Source organism: Homo sapiens, chromosome 5 (genome assembly GCF_000001405.40).
Source record: "Homo sapiens chromosome 5, GRCh38.p14 Primary Assembly".
NCBI lineage: Eukaryota > Metazoa > Chordata > Mammalia > Primates > Hominidae > Homo > Homo sapiens.
In genome coordinates this window covers 148,099,567-148,112,682 of record NC_000005.10, presented here as the reverse complement: position 1 = coordinate 148,112,682, position 13,116 = coordinate 148,099,567, and the positions used below count along the sequence as shown (strand labels likewise).

The window sequence follows — 13,116 nt, the reverse complement described above, 5'->3', positions numbered from 1 at the left end:
GGTTTTTTTTTGAGATGGAGTCTCACTCTGTTGCCAGGCTGGAGTGCAGTGGCGCGATCTTGGCTCACTGAAACCTCCTTCTCCTGGGTTCAAGCAATTCTCCTGCCTCAGCCTCCCAAGTAGCTGGGACTACATGCGTGCACCACCATGCCCAGTTAATTTTTATATTTTTAGTAAAGGTGGGGTTTCACCATGTTGGCCAGGGTGGTCTTGATCTCTTGACCTCGTCATCTGCCCGCCTCGGCCTCCCAAAGTGCTAGAATTACAGGCATGAGCCACCACACCCAGCCGTTCTTGTTCTTAAGGTTGTTTAAAGAATAAGACGCACATGCCATAGCAAACCAGTGAAGAAACTTTTATGACTATATCTCTTTTGAAAAATAAAGATATTGTTCTTCTCCCCAGAAATAAACTAAGATATCAATTAGATGTTAACTCATTTTCAATTTATTAGCACCTAATGATTACACCTTTGGATTATTTGACAGTGACCTATGCTTGCAGAGAACAGAAGTCCTAATCCTTTTATGCCATTAACTCCAGTGTAATTTTGCTCTTAGCACATGGTCCTTTCTTGATGGTGATTCAAGTACCTCTCAGACTATTGAAGAACACCAGAAATAAATGGGCTGAATATATGGCTTTATAATAGTAAATTTCCAAACTCAGTGCAAAGACAGCCTTTATTATCTATCTCCTGGAGAAAACTTCCAATGTCACCCCTCTTGCCCACCCGATGCTGATCTTCTCCCACACTCAGTAGCAGCAGTGGCTGCCGCCCACTCACAAGAAGGCTTCACACATGGAGCAGGTGTTGCCGTGGATTTTCCCATCTAGACCCTCAATAGGATCATTCTCTCTGGTACAGGGGAGTCGTCCATTCCTCACATAATGACGATATTCACTGCACAGCTCCTGCCAAATGAAGCAGAAGCAGGTTTTAAGAGTCCAATAACTAAACACTAGAAATCTTCCTCCACAATACTGCTTTAAAAACTAAAACATAATGATTGCATGGAAAAGGTGATGCTGAAGGTTGATAGTAACCAAAATGCTTTTCAGAGAACTAGGTCACACATTTGGAACATGGATTGCTGTTATTTATCTCATTAGAAAACCTTCAGGTCAAATATTATTCTGCACTAGGCACTGTGAAAGATACAGAGAAGAAAAATGTATGGCCTCTTAAATTGGTAAAGGAATCTGTGGTATACAGAATAATACCGTTCCACCAAATACGTCTAAGTCTTAATACTTGAGACCTGAGAATATGCTGCCTTACATGGCAAAAAGGGCTTTTCAGATATAATTAAGTTAATAACCTTGAAATGAAGAGATTATCCTGTATTGCCATAATGGGCTCAGTGTAAGGCTCAATCACAAGGATCAGTCCTTAAAACTGCAAGAGCGAGATGGAAGACAGAGTGAGAGGGAGATGTAACCACAGAAGAACAGTCAGAGAGATATAACATTGCTGGCTTTGTAGACAGAGAAGGGGGGTCCAAGAACCAAGGAACATGGACGGCCTCTAGATTTGGAGAAAAAGAGATGGATTGTCGCCTGCAAACTCCAGAAAAGGAATACAGCTCTGCCAACCCTTTGATTTTAGCCCAGTGAGATCCTTTTTAGCCTTCTAACCTATGAAATAAGATAAGAAGTTTATGTTATTGTTGTTGTTTTCATTGTTTTTTATTTTATTTTATTTTGTTTTATTTTACTTTAAGTTCTGGGATACATGTTCAGAGCATGCAGGTTTGTTACATAGGTATACATGTGCCATGGTGGTTTGCTGCACCTATCAACCCGTCACCTAGGTTTTTAGCCCCCTCATGCATTAGATATTTGCATGAGGGGGCTAATAATATTAGATATTTGCATGCATTAGATATTTGCATGAGGGGGCTAATATTAGATATTTGCATGCTCTCCCTCCCCTTTCCCCCAGTCCCCAAACAGGCCCCGGTGTGTGATGTTCCCCTCCCTGTGTCCATGTGTTCTCATAAGTGGGAGTTGAACAATGAGAAGTTTATGTTGTTTTAAGCCACTAAAGTGTGCTAATTTGTTATCGCAACCATAGAAAACTAGCACAGAGTTTTTAATTTCTTTGAAGAAAACACATAGAGGCAACTATAAGTTATAATACAATGAATAATATAACTAAAATACTTTTTAAATTGTTGGCATAACAAGTGATAGAGTTATTAAGTATATTGCACACATGGGAAAATATTTAGGGAGCAGTTAACACACAGTCTGAGCCATGAAAAGTGGCCAGAATTTTGGTAGACAAGAGGGATATTCTGACTGTGAGTAATGGCATATAGAAGGTAAAGTTCATTGTATGTTGAAGAATTGGTGAACTCTCCAGTATGGAACACCCCACTGGACAATGAGATTAGACCAATAATGACATTAACAGCAATAAATATAATATTAAAGAGTGACTACTTAAGATATGTGTGACACTGTGCTGTTATACATTAATAAGTTTCTTGGGACTTCATAAAAATAATATACGTAATAATAATGTCCTTATCTTATAAGTGAGAAAGCTAATATATGAAGATGTTAACTGTAGGACCTTACTGGTAGGGAAATGAAGCAAGGATTTGAACCCTGACAGTCTGAGCCTAGAGTCCAGTTTTTTAACCACATTGTTTTTGTGACCACGTGATAGAAAGCCATGAATCAATGCTTGGGATGTCCCAGAAACCAAAAGGTGGCCAGTATAATTGGTGCATGGAGAACAATGTAGAATAATAGGAAATGTGACCTATGAAAAGTGGCAGGGATCAGACCATGTATGGCACTTCCAGACACTACAAGGACCTTGATTTTTACTTTGAGTGAGGTGAGAAGCCACTGGGTAGCACGACCTGCCTTATGGTTTTAAATAATTACTTTGGCTTAAGAGTTGAGAGTAGATTGTAGAGAGCAAAGGTAAGAGCAGTAGAAATGAGCTCTTCTAAATCACAGAAGGACAAAAGAAAAGAATAATGAGGACCTAAGGCATAGTCTGCAGGAATAATACAAATGGCAGAAGCGTGTAAAATCTAAAGTGCATCATGGGCCTTAAAGCCAGAACTTTTGGTTCAATTCTTGGTTCTCAAGTTACTAACTACATATAATTATAATTATATATGATATTATTTGTATCATATAATATTTATGTTAATATATAGTAAATAATATATCAGTATATAATTGTATTATATGTAACTAATTAAATATATTTCTTAACTTCTTATGTCAGCTTCCAAGTCCTCTTCTATAAAACACAGATAATAATATGTCCCTTCAATGGCTACTACAAATATCAGTCATAAAACTTTATGCCATGATGCATACAGTAGCAACGAATGTACAATTATCATTGTTATCACCATCATGTGAGATGTTAAAGAATGCAAACTCAAGACTCAGAGATGCTTTTATCTCCTCAAAATCTCACAGATAATTAAGTGGGATCCCTAGTTGTTGCTGTTTTTAAGGTAAATATTCATATTCAAAAATGTACTTGAGAAAAATCTGAACATCTGTCTCTATTAGTCTGCATTCAGACAGTAAGATAACAATCTATATATACTTCTTTCTTAGGTAATATAATTGACACAATCAGGGGAGAAAATGGTGATTGATCTCTCTCCTGCACGAGCAATTAATAGATTTAATGTGAATAAATTGAATAAGGAAAGGGGAGTACTCTTGTATATGGGGATCCAAACACATTTTCCCAGTTTGCAAAGAAACTAAGAATACTGGAATGAGGAGGAGGGAATAGGAGCCCTCCCTAGGGAGAGTGATCGTTGAATATTTATGTGGCTCTGATGATCTCAAACAACTACCTGAACTGCTTCTCTCTTAACTTTTTCAGCCTCGACTTTCCCTTTTTCTTCTTTATCATTTTTCTTCTCTTCTTCTTCAAGTTTGCTGTAATAGAAAAAGAAGATATAGGCTGAATATGATTCCCTACTCTTTTTGGTAGTACATTTTTAAAAGGAATGAGGATCTTCCAAACCAACAGTCAGATTCAGTCTTCAATACAAATTTATCTAGTCTGAGAGGTGCTTTTGCTTTAACCAATAGTACAGATAAACTTAGCTGTTTACATTCCCCCTCTAAAGAAGAATAATTACAAAACAAGCATGCATCTTTATCAGTCTGTGGCCCTCAGGTGATCTTATTTTTTGTACGTCGCTAATTTTAATTAACATTCCGAATAAAGCTACAATTGTCTTGATTTTATTTCACTGCTTAAACCTTTCCTCTCCAAGTAACTACCATATCCGTGATAAAGGCAAAGGGTGATGCTAAGTCAGATGATGGGCTCAAAATCATAATAAACCATGTTTTACTTTAAACTAAAAATTTTAAATATTATTTCAATGGAGCTAATATTGAAGTTGAAATTCAAGGTTTAGATTGCAGTAGTGATTTAAGTCCAGTTAGATTCAACTGCTAATCTTTGGGGGTTGAACACAAGCCTAATATTCTGGTATTCTTGCCATTTTCTACTGACATATAGCATGTTAATGCTGGAAAATCCTTAGCATTTACTACATTTAGTCATTACCACAACACCAGCAAATTGAACGGGTGAGAGAAAAACCCTGGCTTCTTGAATTTCAGGCCACTTTTCTTCTAGTGCTCTACTCTGTCAACCTCTCCTTTTAGGGAATTGTATGCATCCACTTAAGGTTGGATCAAGACATGTGAAAGTTAGGAGACATTAACTTTGCACCTCAGCAGGTATTATTTAAATAAGCGTTTTTCTCGGCATTTATTTTAGGGTTAAGTTCAGGAGCAGATTAAGAGCCTAAAAAGGAGAATTAGAAGTGATAATAATTAACCTCTATATTGTCCCACACGATGGAGCTGTAGTCACAGGCTTACCTACACCACTCAGCAAAACAAAGACCTTAGAAGGCCATGAACCTGGCTTAACAAGGAGACATTTTAGTAAACATTTAGGGTATGAGCCTGTTTCCTAAAGGTTTTACTCCACACTAAACCACTTATGAATGTTTGCATTATATAGTAATGTCCTTGAAAGGATAAATAACAATCCTTCCTATTCCATTTATTGTTCAGGCTATTTTAATAGTCTTTATGTACTGACCCCACAGACCTCCATCCAGCTGGCTTCTCCTTAGCTCCTATCTGAATAGACTAACAAATCATAAAATGTCAGGAGTGGGAAAGACATCAAAAAGATCATCCAATCCAAATCATGAAATTTCTGCTCTCTCTTTTTCACAAATGAAGATTATCAAGTGTTAAAAAAAAACCATTAAATTGAGCTTTTTCCCTTGACTTAATTGGAAAATAGAAGGATAATTGAATAAATAATAGTATTGTCACTATATGATTCAATATTACTTAATGTCTTATCCATCTGCTTGTAAACCTTTCTAATATATAACTCACGGTCTATACTCTACACATGCATGAAGGATCTGAGACTCAGGGGCGATCATGGATGAAGAAATTCAGTGGGAGAGATGGGGTGGACACTCACAACACACTGGCACACATGGCACACTTGTTTCCATGCATTTTGCCATCTGGGCCACGGACAGGATTATGCTCCCTGGTGCATATAAGTGTTCCATTCCTCACTTGGTCCCGAAATTCACTGCAGATTTCCTGGGAAATGAAGAAAATATTTTCTCAGAGTAGTTTTCTATCCTTCCTGCATCTTTTCCTATTATGAGGAATATGTAACGTAGAGTAAAAAGTAAAAACAAAAGTGATAACACATAGTAGTAAATCAGTAAGTATTTACAAAGCTTCCGTCATCAATCAGAATTGTCCCATCATTATAGCAGATCTGAAAATATTTATCATCAAAAACATACGTGTGTGTTGTGTTGCATAGCATGGTCTGTAAAAGCTAGGAAAGATCAGAGGTGGGAAGATTCCATAGGCAGGCTTAGATGAGAAGCCTTCCTGGAGGAAATGAGAATATTGCTTACCTGTGATTTGTCTTTAGGGGTCTGAGAAAGAAGAGAAAAAACATGCTTAACCTAAGAAATAAATATATATTTTGTCCAAGTATGGTGGCTCACACCTGTAATTCCAACACTTTAGGAGGCCACTGCAAGAGTGCTTGAGCCCAGGAGTTCAAGACAAGCCTGGACACAATAGCAAAACTCTGTGTCTACAGAAAAATTCAAAATAAAAAAATAAAATAAATTGCCAGGCATGGTGGTGTGTGCCTGTAGTCCCAGCTACTTGGGAGGCTTAGGTGGGAGGATCACTTGAGCCCAGGAGTTCGAAGTTGTAGTGAGCTTTGATCGCACCACTACACTACAGCCTGGGCAACAAAGTAAGACCTGACTCAAAAATAAATAAATAAATAAATTTAAAAAGACATATCTTTATACATAGAGAAGAGAATAAGTCTGATCCCTGGAGAAACTAACATATTTCTGGGAGTAAATTGATTTAAAAAAATTAAAAACCAGGAATGGGAGATGTGGATTTGAAGCAAGAGGGTAAGAATAGGAGTGGAGAGAAGGAGGAATATGTTAATACCACTGGAAATATCTAAGAGGATTTGGCAGCTGATCAAACATAATGGATGAAAACACATTTTCAATTCTAAATGATCAATGAAAAGATAGTTTCACCTAGTAGAAACACTTATTTAAAAAAAAAAGAGTCAGTAAGAAGGCAAATTTTAAACTGTGTCAACTTTTCCCCAAGTAATGATGAGGTTTGTACTGTTGTGGCTATTGTTAAGAAATAGAATAAACAGGCCGGGTGCAGTGGCTCACACCTGTAATCCCAGGACTTTGGGAGGCCAAGGTGAGTGAATCACTTGAGGTCAGGAGTTTGAGACCAGCCTGGTCAACATGGTGAAACCCCATTTCTACTAAAAAAAAAAAAAAAAAAAATTAGCTGGGCATTGTGGCACGTGCCTGTAATCCCAGCTATTAGAGAGGCTGAGGCAGGAGAATCACTTGAACCCGGGCGGCAGAGGTTACAGTGAGCCCAGATCTGCGCCACTGCACTCTAGCCTGGGCAACAGAGCGAGACTCCATCTCAAAAAAAACAGAAAAAAAGAAAGAAAGATAAATCTTGTATGTAGCTATTATATGAGAATAATTCAACATCTCCACACAGATAAATTTGACTCTGCTATGTATAAAATTATAAAAGCATGGAGAGTGGAATAAAAATAACTGGAAAGTCAGAGGCCCAACTTAATAATCTTAATTGGGTGCAAGAAAACCACCACTTGCTCCATAGCTGGGTGGTGACAAAGCTCAAATATGATAATATATGTGCTTTCGTTTTGTAAATTGGAATGATTGAGATCTTATACTCTCTATTTGAAATAACAGAGATATGAATAATGTAAATTGAAATTAGTAAATGGCATAAGTTAATACTCTAACAACAGAAATCTAATAAAAGCCAAATATGGGGAAAATTCCTTACAAAAAGTTAACATTCCACTTTTTATGAAATAAACCTCAAAATTTGAATAATTGTGAAATAAAATTGGTACTCTGGACACTTCTTATCAGGACCCTTTTTGTTCAGGTTAAAAATGTTCTTCATTTATTTCAGGCATGAAAATTAAACAGAAAACATTTATTCTAATAGGATAAGTAAAGAATTATAAAGAAATGAAAAATGTCAGGGCACAGCATCAGCATTCCTGAGAATATTACCTTTGCAGCTTCTCTTTTAGCCTTTGCTCTTGCTCTTTCTTCTTGTTGACTTTAAGAAACCGAAAAGAAAAAGAGAGAAGAAATGGATTTTTTTTTTTCTTTTTTGAGACGGAGTCTCTCTCTGTCACCCAGGCTGGAGTGCAGTGGCGCGATCTCGGCTCACTGCAACCTCCACCTCCCGGGTTCAAGCAATTCTCCTGCCTCAGCCTCCCAAGTAGCTAGGATTACAGGCACATGCCACCACACTCGGCTAAGTTTTCTGTATTTTTAGTAGAGACGGGGTTTCACCATGCTGGCCAGGCTGGTCTCGAACTCCTGACCTCATGATCCACCCGCTTCAGCCTCCAAAAGTGCTGGGATTACAGGTGTGAGCCACCGTGCCTGGCCAGAAATGGATCTTAATATAGTAGACTAGATCCTTAACTTTCATAGCTTGATCATTTATTGTTTTGACTATTCTCAAACACTGCCAAATATCCACCCATAGTAGTTTATACTTTTATTAGACAATAAACAATTATGATTCACTCTACCTCAAGAGAATGGTGTGCAAGAGAAAGCCCCTGAATTAGGGAGTAAACCTGTTTAACTTCCCAGTATATGTACTGCAATAGTACTTTCTTATTTGCTGATTCTTTTGCATGTGTGATTACTCTTTATGGAGAGGTAATATTTATCTTCTGAGAGGCAGTATAGCATGGTGGTTAAGAGGAAAGACTCTGGAGCCAAATTCTGCAAGGAAGACAAGAAGTACCTTAACCTCTCTGTGCCTTCCTCATCTTTAAGTGTGTGTTTAGGAGGAATAGAAGAGGTAATAAAAGTACCTTTCTTATTGGAATGTTAAGAGCATTAAATGAGTTGCTACATGTAAAGCAATTAGAACAGTACCTGGTACAAAATAAAATAATTGATATAATTGTTATAAGAGATTGACATAATCATTATTGTCATTATTGAAAGGAAACTTTCCTTCCAAAACTAGGCATATGATGGAAATGAAGTGAAAGTGATAGCTGTTACATTTTGGATAACTAACAGTGTTGCAAATTGAGCTTGGTGGATTGGATCTACAGCATAATTGGATATATAACACAAATAGTTCAAAATGTAGAAAAAAATTACATAATTTGTGAAAATGTTTTAATGTGTCCCAATCAACAAAATACTTGCACATAGATCAAACTAAAACTTTTTTAAAAATTGAAAAGACTGTTTTCACATGGTATGAAAGTGTGCAAAAACTAACTATGGAGGGTAGAATAATTCTCAAAAAAAATCAATCACCTTTGTTAACATATCTATAAAACATGAGGTGATAAAGGTTATTTCTTTTCAATAAAGAATTTATATACTTATGAAATAAACTGACTAAAATAGATCTAAAATTATGGGATTGTTCATACATCTTTATATGAAAACCGATCTAACCTTTATCACGAGTCTAAGTTGACTAAAACATTTAAGCAGCATTTTCTTTCCCCAATGGAAAATTGTCAGAGGAGGCAGCAAAGATGACCACTAAGTGGCAGAATTAGTTTCTTGCTACTGAAAAATTAATGTAAGGGAGAACAAAAAACAGGCTGAAAGACTTCACTAAGTGATTATACCCCACAACAAGAAATACATTAACTTTTCCTTCATCTGTAAGTCCCATATCCTGTCCTGACTTTTCCGTCATTCTCAACTGTTCTGGGCCTTAGTTTTGTTTTTTGTTCTTGCTTTTTATCTGGTTTCATCTATTTCATATGGTTGTTGTGAAGATGAAATGAGATTAGGCAACAAATCTCTGAGCAAGTGTCACATAATTATATGCGTTCAACAAACGTTTGTTGTGATAATTATATGGTCATGATCTCAACTTTCCTTCTAATAGATTTTTAGTGCTCCAAGCCTCAAATGCTATGGGAAAATATGCTGGATTATATTGCTTTCTATATGGGAAGACTAAATAAATTAAGTCCTTTCTAAGATTCTTGGCACATGGGAAATAAAATGGGGGTTTTTTTAGTCAAAAATCAAGAGTTTAAGAAAAGCCTAGTCACGTTTTTGAAGGGCCGGCCATACCATGACATTCATCCTAAAGACCTATTTTAGGCACCCTATCAATAGGCTCCCAACTCCTACATAATAAAATCTCCATTCTTGTCTTTTTCTGCTTTATTACAAAGTTAATCTTCATCATGAGCCCAAATCTTTCTTCCTATAGCTCTTTTCCATTTTAATTATATTCCTTAAAATCACATAGAATAAGTAGGAAGAAAGATAGTGAACAAAAAAATCCCATAAATTTTCCATGCATTGTAATATTTTATGTGTAATCATATGTATTTCCTATTTCATCTGATAATGTTTTCATAAAACTAAAAGCAATTAGTATAATTATCATGAAGTATTCTCTTCTCTGGGTGAATGATTCTAGGTTACTTTTTAAATGTCATAGAAGAAATTATTCTGCACCTCACTTTTTTAAATTGTGTTCTTACTTGACATATAATAATTGTACATATTAATTGAATTCAGTGTGATGTTTGGTATATGTATACATTGTGATGATTAAATCAAGCAATTTACATAGTTGTCTCATGATACTTATCTTTTTTGGGAAGGTGTAAGGACATTTACGATTTACTTTTTTAATGTTTTTGAAATATATGATACATTATTATTAACTGTAGTCACCATGCTGTCCAATACATCCCATAAACTTATTCCTCCTGCTTAACTAAAACTTTGCACCCTTTGATTAACATTTCCTCATTCCCAACCCTCACCCTTCCCTACTCCCATTCTCTTGTAAGCACCATCCTACTCTCTACTATGAGTTAGCTTTTTTTAGATCCCACATATAAGAGACATCACACATTATATGTTTTTCTGTGTCTGGCTTATTCTGCATCTCTTTATATCATAATAGAAAGCCCTCCACTTGTTTTATTGTTGCTGTTGTTTGTTTTTAGTCCATTTAAATATGACACCCAAGACTGAATGCTACACTGAAGAAGAAAATGCATTATTCACAATGGTTTGAAAACTTCCCATGGAAATTCCCACTGCTCAATCCTCAGACGCTATGGGGCTACTGCTCTACTCACAAGAAGGCCTCACACATGGAGCAGGTGTTGCCATGCATTTTTCCATCTGGGCCCTGGATGGGGTCATTCTCTCTGGTGCAAAAAAGCCGTCCGTTTTTCCTGGATTTGCGGTATTCACTACACAACTCCTGTGAAATTGAGGCAGGAAGTTGAAAGTGTTGAACATAGGCTGAATCAGATTGCAAAAATAGCTAAAGCTTGTACTTTTTTTCTTAAACGAGGATTAGCAATTGGCTTATTTTAGAATGATTAACTTTGAAGGCATGGATTTTTTAAGTGATAAAAACAATGAACCCAACAACCAAGAAATAGTCACATATGCACATGTATAACTGCACACATGAAAACACATATGAAAACACAAACTGTACAATTGTTTCATACAGTTTTAAGGAATGCACGTGTTCCCTGAACATGATCTGTGGATCCTCAGGGCCATATCCCTCTGAGTTGCTGGAGGATATAAACTCACCTCAAAGGAAGCTGTACTCTTAGATTGTCTTTTGTTTCTTGATTTACCTTCCTTCTTTTTCTTTTCTTCTTCTTCTGCTTGGCTAAAAAAGGATGGTTAAGAAGAGATAAGTAAAAATCATAGAATCGCCACATTAGAAGTGATCTCAAATATAATTTAATTTTACACTTAACAACGATTAAATTCTTTGAATGTGATGTGCCTAACCCTGTGCTTACACTGTGAAATCCTCACAATTGCATTACAAAACTATTATTATAACCCCAACATACAAATAAACTGACAGACGGAATGCATAACTCACCTGAAGATATAGAAATAATAAGTACAGACTTGGGATTTAAACCCTAGTCCAGAGGTGGTTTTCTAAATTTCCAATGCTCATTACTGTATCTCTAATGACTCCCAAGCCTTTGCTTTAATCTGCCTGTAAAGTCTGTACTGATATCATCCTTGGAATTCCATGGTAAATCATCCATCTTTGAAATCCGCAAACTGTTAGGAAGTTCTTCCTGGCATCCACTTGGAACCTGTCTTCCAGACCTTTCATTCTTTGGCCCACTGGCCTCACTTTTATTCACGGAGATAAGCTAGAACTTGTCCTGTTTCCACACTTAAAAGACAAAACTACTTGAATATTTCAAGATTATGACTTTCTCCTTGCTTAAGTGTGAAGTCTTGACAATCTTCAAAGGACATGGATTTTCAAATACATGTCTCCAATCAGACAGTTTCTCTAAATATGCCTTAATTCTTTCATTTTTATGTTGAAGTGGCCCTCCCATAATTGAACATGGAAATGAAATAGAAAGAACAAAATCATTCCTCCATGTTCCCAGCTGCAGGGCTACTCACAAGAAGACCTCACACATGGAGCAGGTGTTGCCATGCACTTTCCCATCTGGGCCCTGGATAGGATCGTTCTCTCTGGTGCAAGCAAGTTTTCCGTTCCTCACAAGCTTTCGATATTCACTGCAAAGCTCCTGCCGAGATAGAAGAAGTAAGTTGGCCATATATTTCATTTCTACTTAAAGCAGAAGGTTCAAACATCTACATTGGCAGAAACTAATGTTACATCTCTTTGAGCTGAGGATTTTAATTGTGTTTTTCTCAAATGTAAAATTCAATTTGACAACAAGAAAAACATCATATGCCAAGAGATAGGAAAAAATAAAACATAGCACAATGTCCCCATATAATACAAGCAATATATAAGCAAATTCCACTATAATCTAAACAGAATAAAATAGGTACGAACATACAGGGTACAATAAAATCTGAGAACTCAAAGGAAACCAGGGAAGGTGTCAGGGAGCAAGAACAATTTAGGTGAGACTGTGGAAGTGTAAATAGGATTTGACTGGGCAAAAAAAAGTGAATTGGGAAATACGCACACAGGTTTATGAAAATAAAACTAGCTGAAAAACACAGGTAGGAAAAGACATGGCACATAGCAGAGCATGATTTTCTGAATGGAGATAAGGATACAAATAAGAGGAGAGATAACAGGATTAAAGCATATCCTGTATATGATGATGAGCTGCTTGTGGGTTTTAAGAGCAATATTATGATCTTATTTACATTTTGAAACATTACTCCAACTATGTTAGGGAGACTGGTTGGGCAAGGGAAAGGATAAAATCCAGAGTGAAAATTAGGAGACTTTTATCATCAAAACCATTGGTGATGATAACTGAGCTAAGGCTTTGGAAACTAATATTGTAATATTTCAGGGATAAAAATCATGCGTTGGTGGGGGAATCAAGGTATTTTTTATCTCAAATTAGATGTGAAATATCAGAAACTCATATGTAGAAAGCATACATGTAGAATTTCTCTGGAAAGTAGTTAGCAAAAGCTAACAGTCTAT

General features: G+C 36.4%; 1 protein-coding gene across 6 annotated transcripts in view; it reads right to left on the bottom strand.

The window, feature by feature from the left end:
* The window catches only part of SPINK5 (serine peptidase inhibitor Kazal type 5), a 73,403-nt gene that overhangs the window by 24,700 nt on the left and 35,587 nt on the right, over positions 1 to 13,116 (bottom strand). For all 6 annotated transcript variants that reach the window (NM_001127698.2, NM_006846.4, XM_047416662.1 and 3 more), the window contains 7 exons: positions 12,102 to 12,229; positions 11,247 to 11,328; positions 10,775 to 10,902; positions 7,683 to 7,731; positions 5,519 to 5,646; positions 3,846 to 3,930; positions 788 to 915 (listed from right to left, as the gene is read on the bottom strand). In NM_001127698.2, coding sequence (NP_001121170.1) covers positions 788 to 915; positions 3,846 to 3,930; positions 5,519 to 5,646; positions 7,683 to 7,731; positions 10,775 to 10,902; positions 11,247 to 11,328; positions 12,102 to 12,229 — 728 coding nt within the window. The remainder of the gene's footprint in view (positions 1 to 787; positions 916 to 3,845; positions 3,931 to 5,518; positions 5,647 to 7,682; positions 7,732 to 10,774; positions 10,903 to 11,246; positions 11,329 to 12,101; positions 12,230 to 13,116) is intronic.